This window comes from Homo sapiens, chromosome 21 (genome assembly GCF_000001405.40).
Source record: "Homo sapiens chromosome 21, GRCh38.p14 Primary Assembly".
Lineage (NCBI taxonomy): Eukaryota > Metazoa > Chordata > Mammalia > Primates > Hominidae > Homo > Homo sapiens.
The window spans coordinates 15,025,625-15,043,896 of record NC_000021.9 but is presented as its reverse complement, the minus strand read 5'-3'; the positions used below and the strand labels follow the sequence as shown (position 1 = coordinate 15,043,896).

Here is an 18,272-nt window from a genome sequence, read left to right as displayed (position 1 = left end):
CAGTGAGCCGAGATCACGCCACTGCACTCCAGCCTGGGTGACAGAGGGAGACTCCACCTCAAAAAACAAACAAACAAAAAAACAATTGGGTAGTGTATTTTGGCAAATAATTCTGTAATGAAAGCTGTTTTGTTACATGTGGTCAACAACTATGTCCAAAGAAAGCATGTATCATGAAGAATATGAATACTTTTTTTTACCTTGTAATACATCTTTTTTGTTGTTTTTTGAGATGATTTAGTTAGTAGTTAAAATTCCATTGTAAAACAAATCTTTGAGATAAGGTGCACTTGAAGTAACACTTATTTCTCTTAATTTTCAGGAAGTGTTTGGATTGTGAGCTATTTCAGAACTGTTCTCAGGACTCATTATTTTAACATTTGGGAGAAACACAGCCAGAAGGTATTGTCTTTTGTCTCATTGCCCCACTTTTAAAAATGTTATCAAGCCTTTCCAATTGTAGAAAAGTAAGACTGTTATGCCACATTTTGTTATTTTTCTTTAACTTTTAGATATGGATAAACTACCTTGCCATTTGTCACAAAGAAGGTTATATTTCAATTTTGGTAAATCAAAATTTTGTGTAAGCGAATAAAACGTCTGGTTTAGAGTAAACCAGTTTTACCTATTTTAAACACTGAGGTATTTACATTTTACTTTACTACTATAGAACTATTTTAAAGAATGTCTTGATTTGAAAATGAGATACATAAAGTTCCTTTTTATCTAAGACAGTGTGAAGTATACCTGAAACATTCAGGCAGTCTTAAAAGTCTTCCTGCCTGTGACAGCTCTACCTTCTAGTGTAGGGATCAGCTGCCATCTGCATTTGGATCAGTCTGTCATCAGAGTCCGTGGACAGACTCAGCCAGGCCACCTGGTTTTGCCTCCGAACATCCATTTGCGAAATTCTCTCTTTGCATTATCATTTGTGGATAGATTGGTATAGCATAATAATTTATCTGCTTGTAGGCCCAGAGTGTCAGGACATGTGACATATTACTAGGAAGGAAGGTTATGTTAAAATCATCTGTTGAGAAACTTACTCACTTTGTGCTTTGTCTTTTGTACCTTATCTTAGTCCATTTGAGCTGCTGTAACAAATACCATAGATGGGAGGCTTATACACCATAGAGGTTTATTTCTCACAGTTCTGGAGGCTGGGAAGTCCAAGACCAAGGTGCCAGCAGATTTAATGTTTAGTAAGGGCCTGTTCCTCATAGATGGCTGACTTCTCACTGTAACCTCACATGGGTGGAGGTGGCCAGAGAATTATTGGGACCTCTTTTATAAGGGTACTAATCCTGTTCATGAGGGCATTGCCCTCATGATCTAATCACTCACCAAAGGCCCCACCTCCAAATTACCCTCACATTGCAAATATGGTTTCAATTTATGAATTTTGGGGAGACACAACATTCAGGCCATAGCATACCTCATAGATCACATATGGATATGCCAGCCAATTTGACTAATGTCAGTGGTGAACATAGTCTTCTTGATCTATATCCAAGGCATCCTTCTTAATATTCGACCTTATACCTCCTCTGTATCTTGTGTTTTCCTTCTCAAAAACTTTTGCCAGCTGTCTTGCTTGGGATAGAAACAGATGAAGGAAGGATGCATAAATACATGCAATAAAATAATGTATTTGTTAAGATTATAGTGAATTGGCCACCTTCTTTTACTATAATACAGATGTAACTTTATTAGCTGAATATTCATGATTTTTATTCATATGAAATAATACAAAAATTGGTTTTTACCGATTTTCTTAATCACTGTCAAGCAGTGTGAATTTCTAGGGTTGGTTGAATACAGTCTTTTAATAAGTCTCCCCAGCATGCTGCATTGAACTTTTAAAATGGAAACTCTGTGTTTAAGATTATTATTTATTGGCAAACCAGCATATTCTTCCTCTTTTTGTCGGTTACGGGGGAAAGGCAAAAGCAAATAAGAAATGTAAATAAGCAAATTAGGTCTGTGAAAGAACTTGTAAATGAACCCAAAAAATTAAATTTAAAATATACTTTATCAGTAAAATAAATTATATGATCAGAAACTGGATTTTATGGAATTCAGAGTTATCTTTTCAAATTAAAGATGAGAATGAACTATTATAAATATTTCGTATAAACATTCACACTTAGCTATAAAGATGGAAGTTATAATTTTAATGCTAATATGAATTATCAATTCATGAAAGGTTATCATATCTCAAAATTAAAGGTATGTTTCAATAGAGTTGATAGTTATTCTTATTAAAAAGAAACTGCAAAGAAATTGAAAGTTTAGCTGAAGGATTAAATCGACAAATTCCCATGTATATTCAAGATAGGAATTAGTTTTAAGTAATTATTTTGAAAAGAAATCATAATGCATAAGGTCCTTTTAAGAAGAAGTTTCTTATTTTTATACAAAACCTCCTGAAGTGTAACTTCATGTAATCAAATAGACACCCTTATTTGCTAGCTTGATTGTTGTTTATGTAAGTATAGTCTGAGTAACTAGCACCCTACTCCAGAAGGCTTATTGTAATTTGTGTATTTTCTAATCGATCCTGCCTCTACCTAACAGGAATAGTCTTTGGCGTCTTTTACTATAGATTAGTTTTGCCTGTTTTAAACTATATAAAGTTGGAACCATGTCGTATGAACTCATCAGTGTCTTTTTTTATCAACATTATGTCTGTAAGAGTCATCCATGTTGTGTATGTTATTTGTTTTTTCCCCCTAAATTGTCTATGTTCTATTCTATGATTATACCACCATTTATCCATTCCACTGTAAGTGGACATTTAGTTTTCTTTCGAGTTTGTGTCTGCAAATAAGGCTGCTGTGAACTTTTTTGGGTCTTTTGGTAGAAATAAGCCTTCATTTCTCATGAGTACAGTGTAAGCATGGGAGTGGAACTGCTGGGTGGTGGGATGTGCATGTGTTTAGAGTAATAGGTACTTACAGTGCTTTTAAGAATATTTAGGAAATGTCAATCAGTGTGTCTTTTGTTAATGGTAGGTTTTATAATTAGAGAGACTTATTTTTCTTTGACTTAATGTAAACTCTAAAGTTGTTTCTTAGGAGTTATTTAAATTTTCCCATCTATTAAAAAATAAGTTACCTATTTTCTGATTCCATTATAATATGTATTTGGCTCACAAAACCTGGGTTTGTTCTAACCCTAGTGAATGAAACTAGGACACAATATCCTCCTCTATGTACTTATGATCGTATGATTGAAATACTGAAAGTGGATTTTGAAGCAAATCAGGCATAACATGTATTGAAGGCTTTTTTTATTAGTTGAATATTTGGACACCTCTTTGAATATTTAAAGTAATAGATACTTTTGAGTCACAAAACACTTATTTCAGCATTCCTGACAAGCGTTTCTTGTGACCTTTGTGTTTTTATTATTCTGGTGATTAAAATTGATATTATTCATTCTAGCATATAAGTATTTGAAAAATTAATCTTTTTCTAGGTCTTTCCTATAGAGCAGTGCTGTTCACTAGAAGTATAATGTGAGCTACATTATGTAAGTTTAAATTTTAAATGTTAAAGTTTCTAGTAGCTATGGTTAAAAGTAACTGGTGAAATTAATAATATATTTGATTTAACCCAGTATCTGCAAAATGTTATCCTTTCAATGAATAATCAATATAAAATTATGAGATATTTTGCATTGAAAAATAATGTAAATCTGTACTGAATTTTTGAAAGCTGGTGTGTGTTTTGACGCACAGCTCTCTGAATTCTGACTAGTCATCTTTCAAGTGCACAGTAGCCACATGTGTCTAGTGATTGCTGTATTAGACAGCACAGCTATAGAGTTACATTTTGGGTTTTTAAAAGACAGTGCTTTAGTCAAGTTCATGACTAGTTAAAATTACCCTTAAAAATCCAGTAGAAAGGTGCCATGTCAAATGCTGAAGTACCATCTTTCAGTAAGTTTCAAACAGCCTATTTTTCCTTCTATTTTGGAATAAGTAGCATTTTCTTTGGTTGAACATCAGATAAATCAATTAGCCAGTGTTTAGGGGGCATGTTGAATGACAGATACATATCTTTAAACTAAAAAATCAAAATCTGTAACAGTAGATTCATATCTTCCATCTTATTCCAGCTTCTATTATACTAGGTAGAATTTTACTTTTAGGGGAAGTGTGTTTTTCTTTTTTCAAAAGCATGGCTGGCTTAATTGAATGTGATAAATTGCTGTATGCTGTAACTCCACCATATTTAATAAAATAGGGAAGTTTACAGATAGTTTGTATGTGTACATATAGATGTGCCTATGACTTCTCATTACTTAGGATATTTAAAGGTTACCTAAATTTTGAGGGTTAATGTTTCTTCATGTTTATTTTTGCCAAATGGGATAAATCAAGACTATAAACCATCTCACATTAATGTGGGTTTGATTTTGCCACCAAATTGGGTTTTAAAGCTTCTTGGTATTCAAAATTGGGAATGTGGATAAGGGACTATTGACCTGTGAGAACAGTCAATATGGAAACTTATTGTGGAGGGAATAGCCCTTTGAGAAATAAACGGCATAATCACACTTTAGTGCTTGTTTTGGTTCCCAGATCTGGGATACAGTGGTTGTTTTATAGCCCTACCCCCAACACATTTTTGATAATACTACCTCCACACTCTTAAATGAAATTGGTACTCTTGTTGACACTCAATTCTTATTGGGTAGTAAGAAAAGAAAATCATTTCTCTGCTTAAAAGCCTTCACCTCACTTGGTATAAAACTAAAGTCCTTGCATTAGCTGAAAAGGCGTCTTCTCAGTGAAGCCCACCCTGGTGACCACACAATTCAAAACGGAAGCCTCCTCTTTTTCCTCTCTCCTTTATGCTGTTCTCTTTTTCCAAGCACTTAACACCTTTAAAAATACAATGAAATTTGTGTTTCTTTTTAAAGTATAGTTTATTTATTGTTTAATCTTTCTAAAATTGGGACTCCCTGAAGGCAAGAATTTCTGTTGCGTTCGTTACTAATAAATCTGAAGAAGCTAGTCTGAGGCTGAGCATCTAGAAGGAGGACATACCTGTTTATAGACTAGTTATTTATTGAATGCATGGAGAAGATACACATTTTTTTTTATTTCTGAAAATTTGCCTTTATAGGTTTTCTGGGGCAGGGAATATTTAAAGGAAATGAAAACAAAAATTGTAAGTTATAAGCATAAGAATACATTTGGATGATTTGAATAATTTGAAAGTAGTTTTTTTCATCAAACTGACATACACATCCCTTTGAAAGGTAATATGTAAATATGAAGTTTTCAAAAAATAGGGTTTATTATTATGGTCAGGTAATTTTTCTTATAGGTATAAATATGTGTTTTTTTCATTTGGATAATAAAATTATGTTGGTAATCAGTCTGAGAAGTACATTTATAAAAGATTTCTTCTGTTTCTGTAAAATATAGGAGACATACATTATATTTTGGTATCTTAGTATAGATCAGGCAGAGCTCAAAAGGTTTTGGAAAGTAATTTTTCCAAATTTCCTCTTTGGAAAGAGAAGTATAGTTTGGCTTTCATTTTATACAGGTGGTATCTAATTGTAGTTCTCAAAGTTTTATTTTTAGGTCAACTACAATAAATGTTTTTAAAATAGTACAAAAATTTAATTAAAGACATACCAAGTTATGGTATATGGTACCCTAGAATACATTCAAAGGGGACATTATAATGTTTGTTACATTGTAGGATAAATATGAGATGATAAATGTGATCAAAGTCTTTCCTGAAAGTCTGTTGGCAGGTTCTTGGTTTTATATTACACCTTTACATATTTAACATTTGATTGCAGTCAACCCTAATTATGACTATGTCAATAATCATTTTCATTGGAACAGGAAGAATTATGAGTTTTGGTTTCTTTGTCTTTCCACTGCCATTTTCCAAATTCAGGCTTTATTACGTTCTGATTATTAGATAGTTATTAGATAGTTACTGCAGTAACTTTCTATTTGGTCTTTTGCCTTTTAGTTTTTATTACCCAATACATTCTACACAGCAAAGTAAAACTTTCTGCAGAAAATTATTATTACCCTGAACAAAGACCTTTGCTCACAAGATAAGACAAGTCCTATTTCTACCTGGTTCCTTGCATATCTCATGATCAAATATTTGGTTTGCCCCTTCCTTAAGCATGTTAATTGCACATTTCTTATTCTGCCACATTATTTTTGCTATCTTCAGCTCAGATGTCTTTTGAACCCTACTAGTTTTCTTTTACCAAAAGGCCATCCATCCTGTGATTTGTATGATCACTCGGACAGAAGGGAACATGTGCTCCCATCTACTTTCTCCTAGTGGTTGATGAATGCCATTCACACTGCCTTTATTTTTCATAGCGTTTCATTCATCGCTGCAGCAAAATTATAAACTTCTAGATGGAGGGGGTTGTATCTTTTATAAATTTGTGACTTACAAAGCACTCAACTTGATGCCTCCCACATATAGGGTGATAAATCAAAGTATTGGTGAAACACAACTCCAGAGTGTGTCCTGATATAATTTTAAAGCTTAGAAACGATCAAAAAAGATAAAAGTTCATCTTTGTTATATTACGCAAGTTACTTACATTTGTGCAACAGTTTTTTCATGTGCTTTGTATGAAGACTTGAAATGATATCATGTGTGTTAGAAATTTACAGGTTGCAAAGTGTGATATGGGTAATTATGACAGTACTCAGACTTTATTTTGTTGAATATGTACATTTCTTTGACTTAACTTACTGTGATATGTAGAATGCTCTTTTAATGTTCCTTACCTGAATAAGCAAAATTTATTTAATATGTTAGCTAAACAAATTTTGCTTATTATTTTGCTTAAATTTTGCTTATTATTTCCTTATAAGTTACTATAGACTTAATATTCTTTGCTGTTCATCAAGAGGGAAAGTACAAACGCTTTTGGTGAAAGTAATAAATTACCTGCTTAGAATGTAACAATTTCAAAGATAAAAGTTTTGTTAACTTCCCAAAATTTATCCTTAGTTTTTCATATTTAATTCACATTGGGGTAAAGTATATTTTTAAAAAAGAATCATTTCACAGATTTCCCTAAATTTCTTCAAGATAAACCCAACCTTTTCAATTCTATTTCTTAAGAGTATTTTTTAAATATTGCTAAGTAGCCTGCCTGGCTAGTGGAGATTCTAAATGGGACTGAATTGGGGATAGTGACTTTTTTTTTTATTTGATTAGGGCATGGTTCTCGTGCTAAGAACAGTATCTAAGAATGAAATAAGTTTGACTTTCAGAGATATCCCCCCCTCCAAAAAAACCCCCAAAATCTGAAGATCATGTATATCTGGGTAGTGGGTGTAAATTTAGTTCACAGAAAGAAATGGTAAAAGGTTAAAGGAGGAAATGAGTTTCATAGAATCAGCAGCATAAGCAAAGATGAATTCTGTAATCATACATAGACCCTGAACATTTGGGCTGACTGTGGTTTTATGTATTTAAATGCTGAGATGTTGGTGACACGGAGTAGTAGCAGAAACTGAATTTGGGAGGAGGAAATGATTATAGTTTCTCAATCTTCTTTACTGTAACAAAATATGATGTGCAATTGGGATACCCTTTTGGCAACTGAATAGGTTTGGGAAGTTAACTTTATTGGCCATCTAGATTATGTGGGCAGTATACACAGCCCTTTATTATCTAGGGCATAAAGTTTAGAAAATATTCAGCATTTTTTTCCAGTGTAGGTTAAAAAAATATTGATCTTCTGGCTTTATTCATATCACAAACAAAAATTCTGAAAGACAGCCTGTTTATTGTCATAGAAATGGATATAACCTCACAAGGAGTGTTATTAAAGTTACTTTTGTAAGTGTTTTAAAAACATGGGCATGCAGTTTGTATTAATAGTGATACTCCTCTACTGAGTTACTGCTAATTTGCCATTTTCGCAGTAATTTCAGAAAATAAGAAATCGTTAACATTATTGTATTATTTAAATACTCCCATGGATTTCTATTAAGGATGAATAGCATCATTACAGTATTTGTTAGAAAGTCATATACATCACGATGCCTGTAATCCCAGCACTTTGGGAGGCCGAGGCGGGTGGATCACGAGGTCAGGAGTTTGAGACCAGCCTGGCCAGCACAGTGAAACCTCGTCCCTACTAAAAATACAAAAAATCAACCGGCCATGGTGGCACACAACTGTAATCCCAGCTACTCAGGAGGCTGAGGCAGGAGAAATGCTTGAACCCAGGAGGCGGAAGTTGCAGTGAGCCGAGATCGCGCCACTGCACTCCAGCCTGGGCAACAGAGCGAGACTCTGTCTCAAAAAAAAAAAAAAAAAAGTCATATACAATTTAAACTTAGTCTGGTGACCACAGAAAGCTATTTTCTTAGTTTTAAACCTTTTATTAGTATAACCTCTCTTCATCTTGGTTACTTTAATGTAAAATGAGAATTATACAGACTTTATTTTTATAGCAACATTGTATGAAATGAATAAATGTGAACTATTTAAATTGGCTCAGGCATTTAGACTTGTTTCTGATAAACTTATCACATGAATACTACTTATTACCTTGTAAACTTGTATTTTAAAAGAAAACATTTATTTGAGATATAAGGATTCCTGTTTTCTCTTCAGAAAAAGCAGAGGTAATTGTTATTTTTTTAAAAAAATTTAAAACAAAGGGTATATTTCTCTTTTACCTCTTGAGTAGGCATTAAGAGCAGCTACTGTCACAGCCACAGTTAAATAGAATAGTATGGAAAATGATGGCTTTAGAATCCTAAGATTTATATTTGAGCCCTGCATCTTCACATATACTCTTAGTAAATCAGTTAACCTGAGCTTCAGTTTTTTGATCTGTAAGATGAGGATACATCTTACATCATAAGAATATTATGCAGAATAAATGAGGAAATACATAAAGTGCATCAGTGTAATGCTATAGAAAGATAATGTGTTATGGACAATATTGTTAATTCTAATGTATTTTTCAAAACAAAGAAAATAGGTTTTTGGATGATCACTGTTTTACTTAATCACCATGTCCTTCTAATTAGAACCTTTCTTCCACACATTTTTATTTTTATTTTTTATTTTTTATGTTCATTTACTTTTAAGAGTTTCCACAAACCTCGGTCCATGCTTTTAGGATTCCTTTCAAGTTTGAACCACTTAACATCTGCCACCTACTGACCTAGTTCTTTCCACTTCCTCCAGCTCTCCTCTCCTCATACACACTTGTGTATTATGTTTGTTGGATGATTAACCTGTCTTTCATTTCATTTTTGCAAATATCTAGATCAATACTGGGTTAGGAAAAACAGTTTCTGAATTTGTTTGAACTATAAAGCAAGGTGGTACATAGGAGTCAATAATAATATTCATTTTTTCCCCCCAGGAAAACAGTTTTCAGGGGAAACAATTAGTAAACTCCCACATGGACTTGCTTTTCGTTTCATAGTATGGCTGTGATAGGTTTTAAAAGTGATTTCTGCCTACATATCCAGGTTAAAAAAAGTTTTCAGTATAAAGCATGAGTTTGGAAGTGACTCACCACATATGGAACTACTTCAAAATGCATGCCCCTTAACTACTATTTGAATTTTTATAGGTTTGTAGTTTTGCTGACTGCAAGAAAATAAAAGGCTCAGTGCCAGTTCTTACTGGGTCAGGATTTATTTTAAAGTACCAACATTTCCTCAGCTTTTTGATACCTAAAAAGTCCTAGAGATTTTCCTGCAAAAAGTTTTAACAGGCTTTATTCCAGTAAGGGAAATTCAGGGTGTTTATCCTGTGGTAGTAACAAAAGCAAGGGATTTGGTGAATTTGCAATAGAAATTGCCAGAATCTAGATGACCCTAGGAACATATTTTTATTTAAAGAGTCTAGTGGGGTCCAGCAAGGACTTGTAATTATATTTGTGTCTTTAGCATAGCTCCAGGAACAAGAAATTTGATGAATGATTTGTAAACAGATGGTTAATTTTTCATGAAATGATCAGGAGACCAGGTGACCAAGGCAATTGATCTCACACTGTTGAGGTTTACTGGGGAGTGATTGTGGAATGCCTTACTGTGAAACACACTGACTTGAGTTTGAATCCCAGATTTACCCCTTAACTGAGAAAGTCACCAAACTTCTCAGCCTCATCTGTAAAATTGGATAGTATCTATTTTACAATTAATGATTAAGTGAAATAATGTATGTCTTAGCAGTATTGTAACAGGTATTTACTAGTGTCTAATTAATAAAGTTAATAATGATAACTGACAATAACCCACTCGATAATTGTTTTAAAACTTACATTCCATGTTGAAAGTCACCATTACAGTATAGAAGTATACTTGAGGCTACTTAAAATCTTTAAGAAACTGCATTTCAGCCAAAGTAGTGTTTATGGGTAAATGGATTGAAGTTGACACAGGCTGTGATGTGGTGGTTTTGAACAAGACCAGATAATCTAGGTATGAACCCCAACTCTGCCACTTACTTACTATTGTTGACTGTGGGCAAATCACCTTACCTCCCTAAGGCTCAGTGTTCTCATCTGTAAAATGGAAATAAATTCATAGAGTTATTTGAGAATTACCATATAGGAATTAAGCCTACGTTAAGCATTTAACGTAGTCCTGGCACATAGTATGCAGTATTTTTTTTTTTTTTTTTTTGAGACAGAGTCTCGCTCTGTCGCCCAAGCTGGGGTGCAGTGGAGCAATCTGGGCTCACTGCAAGCTCTGCCTCCCAGGTTCACGCCATTCTCCTGCCTCAGCCTCCAGAGTAGCTGGGACTACAGGTGCCCACCACCATGCCCAGCTAATTTTTTGTATTTTTAGTAGAAACAGGGTTTCACCATGTTAGCCAGGATGGTCTCGATCTCCTGACCTCGTGATCCACCCACCTCGGCCTCCCGAAGTGCTGAGATTACAGGCGTGAGCCACCGCGCCCGGTGATCATTTTAATTTTTCAGCTTTCTCAGTGGCCCATTATTTAAAAGAACCATATTTGAAATCAAACAGACTACTTTATATTTTTGTAAAATCATTTTTACATCACACACATCTTTTGGTCCTTCTGTGGCTTCAGACTTTTAATTCCAGTCTTAACTCACCCTTCTGCTGCATCTCCTGCTTCATTTCCTGAATGTAGTGTGACCAGGGGAGAGCAGAAGGAAGCAGGGATTGGATCTGAAATCAGTAGACCTCTGTAGTCAACCTTACAATGAGCAAGACATCCTCTCTGGACTAAAGTCCTTAGTTAAATTGATTCAGTTGCTGCTTTTTGAAGTTTTACCAACAGAATAACTTTAAGCCTTTGTTTACTATTAGAGAATATGGTGAGAAGGTTTTGAAGGAAATACCTACTTTTTTTCAGTGACTTCGAACGGTTTTTTTTTTTAGAGCCATCATTTATCCAAATATTTTTTCAAAAATGACAGCTACTAAAACTACTGATAACTAAACAATTACTGTATATTACAGATACTGTGTTAAGGATAGAGTTAGGTTTATCCTATAGGAAAGTTTTAAAAAATATCTTCTATTTTGTCTACAGTAAGTTACTTGATAGTACAAGGAGTTTATTAGAATTTTCAAAGTTTTTAAGACTTTTATAATGAGGCAGTGTGTGGTTTGTTAGGTGGTTGTAGTGAGAATTTGAAGAGTTCTTGTTTTGGATAGTCATAGTTCTGGCTTTGTTATTAATGGCTTGGCTTTGAGCTAAAAATCAAAACCCTTTGACTCAAAATTACCCCTTTGGGTCAAACTATCACTGACCTACTTCCTTCCTCCACTTTGAACTTAGGATTACTTCAGAGATGAGTGGGAGCATCTCAGATGAATGATGGTGTCCTCCAAGCGCCTTCCAGAGTGTATACACATAGAAAGGGAATGTGGTGATCCTCCAAGCGCCTTCCAGAGTGTACACACATAGAAAGGGAATGTGGTGTCCTTTGAGCACCTTTCAGAGTGTATACACATAGAAAGGGAATGTGGTGAACCTCCAACCACCTTCCAGAGTGTATACACATAGAAAGGGAATGTGGTGAACCTCTGAACGCCTTCCAGAGTGTACACACATAGAAAGGGAATGTGGTGATCCTCCGAGCGCCTTCCAGAGTGTATACACATAGAAAGGGAATGTGGTGATCCTCCGAGCGCCTTCCAGAGTGTATACACATAGAAAGGGAATGTGGTGATCCTCCGAGCGCCTTCCAGAGTGTATACACATAGAAAGGGAATGTAGTGATCCTCCGAGCGCCTTCCAGAGTGTATACACATAGAAAGGGAATGTGGTGATCCTCCGAGCGCCTTCCAGAGTGTATACACATAGAAAGGGAATGTGGTGAACCTCCAACCGCCTTCCAGAGTGTATATACATAGAAAGGGAATGTGGTGAACCTCTGAACGCCTTCCAGAGTGTACACACATAGAAAGGGAATGTGGTGATCCTCCGAGCGCCTTCCAGAGTGTATACACATAGAAAGGGAATGTGGTGATCCTCCGAGCGCCTTCCAGAGTGTATACACACAGAAAGGGAATGTGGTGATCCTCCGAGCGCCTTCCAGAGTGTATACACATAGAAAGGGAATGTGGTGAACCTCCAACCGCCTTCCAGAGTGTATACACATAGAAAGGGAATGTGGTGAACCTCCAACCACCTTCCAGAGTGTATACACATAGAAAGGGAATGTGGTGAACCTCTGAACGCCTTCCAGAGTGTACACACATAGAAAGGGAATGTGGTGATCCTCCGTGCGCCTTCCAGAGTGTATACACATAGAAAGGGAATGTGGTGATCCTCCGAGCGCCTTCCAGAGTGTACACACATAGAAAGGGAATGTAGTGAACCTCCAACCGCCTTCCAGAGTATACACATAGAAAGGGAATGTGGTGAACCTCTGAACACCTTCCAGAGTGTACACACATAGAAAGGGAATGTGGTGATCCTCTGAGTGCCTTCCAGAGTGTACACACATAGAAAGGGAATGTGGTGATCCTCCGAGCGCCTTCCAGAGTGTACACACATAGAAGGGGAAGGTAGTGATCCTCCAACCGCCTTCCAGAGTGTATACACATAGAAAGGGAATGTCGTGATCTATTTTAACTTAAATCATCATTTCCTGAATTTATTTGGCCTTGGGACCTCCCTTCTTCCCTCCTTACCACCTATCCTCCTCTCTCCCTCCTTCCATGTTTTCCTCCCTCTGAGTGAGCACTTATTCTGTAGAACATTGTTAAATATGTAGTCATTGGGAGCATAATTTTACCATTTAACTTATTAGAACTCTATATTTGTACTGCCTTTGCTTTGGTAATATGTTTATTTTCAATTCTTAATTAAGAGGAAACCCTGTTTGTAACATATTATTCCTATGAGAAAATATGATTTCCATTGAAATATCTTGTTTTATTGTCATGTGACATGTTGTCTAGGCATGCAGCATGAAGAAAGGGAAAACCCCTGACTTCTACCAGAGGAATCAATCCAACTTCGTGTTAGTTTGACTTAACCCAGTGTGGGAAACTGTGTGAATATTCGTAAAAACTTTTCTGTGTTAATAAAAATATAAGTAATAGAAGGCCTTACTACAAGTAAAGTAAACAGTAAGGGTGTATCTTCTCACTCAACAAAAAATTTGGAGTATTGGCAGTTAATGAATTGTCATAATGATCTTATTAGTGTCCCACATGGTATTTTCTGTTTTCTACTCTGCCATCTTGAGTGACTTGGTGATGTCACTCCTCATGGTTGAAAGATGGCTATTTTCCCACATTTCCTTGTCAACTTCACTGGTCATAATTAAATCATATACCCATGCCTAAGCCCTGCCTCTTACTATCAGAGTAGACATTATTTGTCACAAGTGGCTTTACTTAATTGGGATTCACCTCCTGAGGGGAAGAGGGTGAGTTTCTACAGGTGGATAAGGAAGAGGACAGTGTGTTTTTGAGGAGGTCACTGCAGTGTTTGTCACAGCTGGTGAGGATATGAGTTTTGCTCATCTCTGCAGACTCTCTGGTGAGATCACAAAGTACAGACATGTTTATTATTTATTTATTTATTTATTTGTTTTCCTTTATTGGAGACAGGGACTCTGTTGCCCAGGCTGGAGTGCAGTGGGGTTAGCATAGCTCACCACAGCCTCAAACTCCTGGGCTCAAGCAATCTCCTGCCTCAGCCTCTCAAAGCACTGGGATTATGGGTGTGAACTATGCACCCTACCCAGTCATATTTATTGAGTGCCTGCTGTATTTCGGTTATTCTTCTAAGTCCTGGGGATAGAACAGTGAACAAAAGAGAAAAAAAATTGCTACCCTCCTGGAGCTTACATTTTATTGGTGAGATAGACAAATAAGATAAAGCAATTCAATTTATGGTATCTTATTAAGTGCTAAATAAAAATTGAAGCAAAGAGAGGAGAATGGAGGGTATTGAGGGCAGGGGCAGGGGAGATGTCCAGGAAGTTTTAGATGACACCCAGGGAAGGCCTTACTCGGAGGGTGACTTGAGTAGAGGCTGAGTCAGCATGGGAGCTAGTGATGCAGCCCTCTGGGAAGGAGAGTATTCCAGTCGAAGTTCCTGTGGCTGGAGTGGGGTGAGTGAGGGAGGGTCACAGGAGATGAGGTCAGAGGGGGAAGCCCCTAGAAAGTTTTGAGCAGAAGAGTGGCCCAATATCATGTTTTAGCAGAATCGCTTCAGCAGTTGTGTTAAGTAGACCAAAGAGGTGTCAAAAACAGAAGCAAGGAAACCAGTGAGGCGGCCATTATGATAATTCAGGAGAGAAGGAGATGACTTGAATGGGGACAGTAAGAAGTAGCTGAATTCTGGATTCTGGATTCCAAGGTAAAGCCTGCAGAATTTGCTAAAAGATTGTATGTGGGTGTGAGAGGAAGAGAGGCATCTCGGATGGCAGCCTGAACAATTGGAAGAATGGAGCTGATCTGAGATTAGGAATAACAGGGACTCAGTTATTGACATATTAAACTTGAAATGCTTGGAGACCTCCAAATGGGGATGTCAGATAAACACTTGTTTATATAAATACTTTTTGGACCAATGTATATTTTTTAAAAGAACGATATTGACCATTAATAATAGGAAATGACTTTTAAAAGTATGTAATTTCAATAATAACAATAAAGAATAGGAAATAGAAAAATTAAGTGTTATATGGAGTGGATATTTTATGTTCCATTGAACAACACAGGGAAACACTGGAAGTAATTTTAAAATAAGAGTATTCAAATAAACATTTGTACACTGTACATTTATTTAGTGCCTACGTTAGTGTTAAAAATTGCATATTAAATCTATTTAATCTTTGAATCAGTGCCTGATTTTTCAGCCCCAAACCTTGTAAAAAATATACATACAAAAAGAAATACAACCCAAGGACTAATGGTGTGGATGTAGTTTTATGACTGTTTCCTCTGTAACGTGAAGCAATGATCCTTCTAAAGGAAATGTGTTATTAAATAGGCGATCTTACCCCACTCCAACTTCCTCAGTATTGTGTAGCCTGTAGTTAATGTGCAAGCACATCATTAAAAAGAAATCCAAGCCCAGAGAAAGAATCAGTACAGTATATCTTATGCAAGTTTATCAGGATGAATGGCTTCTCACTCCCTTTCTTTTGAAGAGGAATTAGTGTGAGATGTCTTTTAACAAGATTATTGTACTCATTTGCATTTAACAAGAATGCAGCACGTAGCTAAGATTTTCAATCCGTGTGCATCACATAAAATGCCAAAAAAGCACCTTATAAAGTACCTTTCACATGCTAGATACTCAAGAAGTATTTGGATAGCAAATTTGATTTAGAGTATCATTCACATTTCTAACTTATTTAAAATATTTTTAAGTATTATACTACATGCAGTGGTTATTGCTTAACAGTGTGTGCTTTACCTGTAATGCAAGGTTGTTGAGAAAATTGAATTGTATTTTTTTTAGATGGAAGTACCATATAATAAATATAAAGAGTTATTTATTGTGCAAGTAAACTTTGCTCTTTAAAATGGATTAAGTATTTCTCATCACAGTTTTGGCTGTCATGGTGAATATATGATTGCTGGCCTGTGTGACCAAGTAGAGAGAAAAAAGCCCGTTTAGATTTAGAGGGAAAATGCATTTTGTTAAGAACCTGAAGTGTATTGAATTACTCCAGTTTACCTATTTCTCATGTTAAGTAATTTTTGCAAAATGATCATCTTTCATCAGACAGTTCTGAAGTTCGCAGTAATTAAGTAAGCAAGCATTTATGTTAGCTTTATTTGAGACCAAAGTGGTGGTAGATATGAATTAGCCTCATTCTTTGATTGACCAAGCTATAAGTTTTTATCTGCCAGTCAGTTTTTCAATTCTTTTGAGTGTATCTCTTTATATACTCCTTTGGTTTTGTTTCTAACAAGGAGAATAAAGAAAATCTGTCACCTAACAGTTAACATTTGTTCATGTGTGAAAATTATTAAGATGCTTACCTAAACAAGATACTTGTCAAAGCTCTGATTTGCCACAATATAGCCACTTGTTTTCTGTTATGTAAGTAACCCTTGGTATAAACAGGAATGTATTTGAATTATGAGGCACAATATGACAGTGATCTGCCAAGAACCTACCATCGAGCATAGAATCAGACTTAACTACCACAGCTGAATCTGTCGATATGTTGCTCTCCTTGCCCCTGGTGTCTTGCAACCGCTTTCTTCAATTTTGTGTTAATCATTTACTGCCTTTTAAATAATACTGGTTTTTACATTAATCTTTAAGTAATATGTTACTTTATGTTTTTGTTTTGCGAAAATGGTAGCATTCTGTATGAAGTCTTCGGATACTTGCTGTTTCAAATTTTTTTTTAATTTAGTTTTTGTGGGTACAAGTGTATATATTCATGGGGTACAGAGATGTTTTGATACAGGCATGCAATGTGAAGTAAGCACATCATGAAGAATGAGGTGTCCATCCCCTCAAGCATTTATACATTTAGTTGCAAACAACCCAGTTACACTCTTTAAGTTATTTAATATGTACAGTTATGAGACTTGTTTTTTCAACTTATATTGGTTTTTTGAAATTTATTTATACTGCTGTATGTAGGTATAGTTCATTTATTTCCACTCCTGGGCAATATTCCATTGTGTGTATTTATTTCTTCCCCTCTGTGTGGACATTTGGATGGTTGCTGGGTCCTTTCGTTTGTTTGTTATTGTTTTGTTTTGTTTTGTTTTTGATATACCTATGTTGATATACTTACATACATATATAGGTGTACTTATATTTACACACATATGTATGACTATTATAAGCATTGCTGATGTCAACGTTCTTTTATATGTGTTCTGAAGAAGATGTGCAAGACTCTAGGGTATATACCCAAGAGTAGATATGTAAAGAATGCTCAATTATATGAAATAATATGAAGTTGTTTCCAATGTTATCAGACCAGTTTACATTTCATTAATAATATATCAGAAGTTTCTGTTGAGCTACATCATTGTCAGATCTAAGAATTGTCAGACTTTTTAACTTTTTCCAAATTAGTAGATACAGTGGCATCGTATTATGATCTTGATTTACTTTTCTGTGTGATAACGAATGAGGCTGAACATCTTTTCATGTGTTTTTTCATCATTGGTGTACTATCTTATGAAATTCTTATTATGTCCTATGCCCATTATGTACTCAAAACTGTTTTTTTATGCATTTGTATTCTACATATTTTTAATTTTAAAGTAACACATACAGAAAAGTTACACGTACAATACAGTGGAACTTTTTTCCTCTGTTGACTTATTTCCCATGAATAAACAAGTGTGTGTTTCCCAGAAAGAAACAAGACCTTGTCCTGGAAACCACAACAAAACCATCAAAATCATTGATCATCACTACTATCTAATCGTCAGAGCTCATTCAAGTTTCCAGGTTGTCCCGATAATGTCCTTTTCAGCAAAAGGATTCCATTTAGAATCACACTTTGCATTTTATTGTCTCATCTTTTTGGTCTCCCACAGTCTGGAACAGTTCTTCAGTCTTTGACTTTAAAGACACTGGCATGTTAGAAGACCATGTCGGCCCGTAATTATGTAGAATATCTTTTCCTTTAGGGTTGTCTTCTGTTTCCTCATGATTAGATCCATGTTATGAATATTGAGCAGGAATATCACAGAAGTGATACTGTGTCTTCTCTTTGCATCCTCTGCGGTGGCATACAATTTCATTTTGACCCATTACTGTTGACTTTTCACTGGGATTACTTGATTAAGATGGTGT

The 18,272-nt window shown here is 35.4% G+C and overlaps 1 protein-coding gene across 21 annotated transcripts in view, besides 1 other annotated feature; it reads left to right on the top strand.

Annotated features, from left to right (window-relative positions):
• The window catches only part of NRIP1 (nuclear receptor interacting protein 1), a 104,702-nt gene that overhangs the window by 22,040 nt on the left and 64,390 nt on the right, over positions 1–18,272 (top strand). For 17 of the 21 annotated variants that reach the window (NM_001439278.1, NM_001439276.1, NM_001439275.1 and 14 more), the window contains exon 2: positions 323–402. The exons of 1 other annotated variant lie outside the window; for it this stretch is intronic. The gene's annotated coding sequence lies outside the window, so the exon portion shown is untranslated. Of the gene's footprint in view, positions 1–322; positions 403–3,480; positions 3,535–18,272 lie in introns of all 21 variants that reach the window. 3 more of the 21 variants (XM_047440994.1, NM_001439281.1, XM_047440993.1) reach the window with 1 other exon arrangement.
• Positions 11,442–12,641: an enhancer, noted in NCBI's record as "BRD4-independent group 4 enhancer chr21:16403577-16404776 (GRCh37/hg19 assembly coordinates)". NCBI's record gives its function as "activates an origin of replication core promoter dependent on BRD2, P300/CBP, MED14 and CDK7 cofactors, and independent of BRD4, by STARR-seq in HCT116 cells {active_cell/tissue: HCT116}" and the evidence as "EXISTENCE:reporter gene assay evidence [ECO:0000049][PMID:35650434]".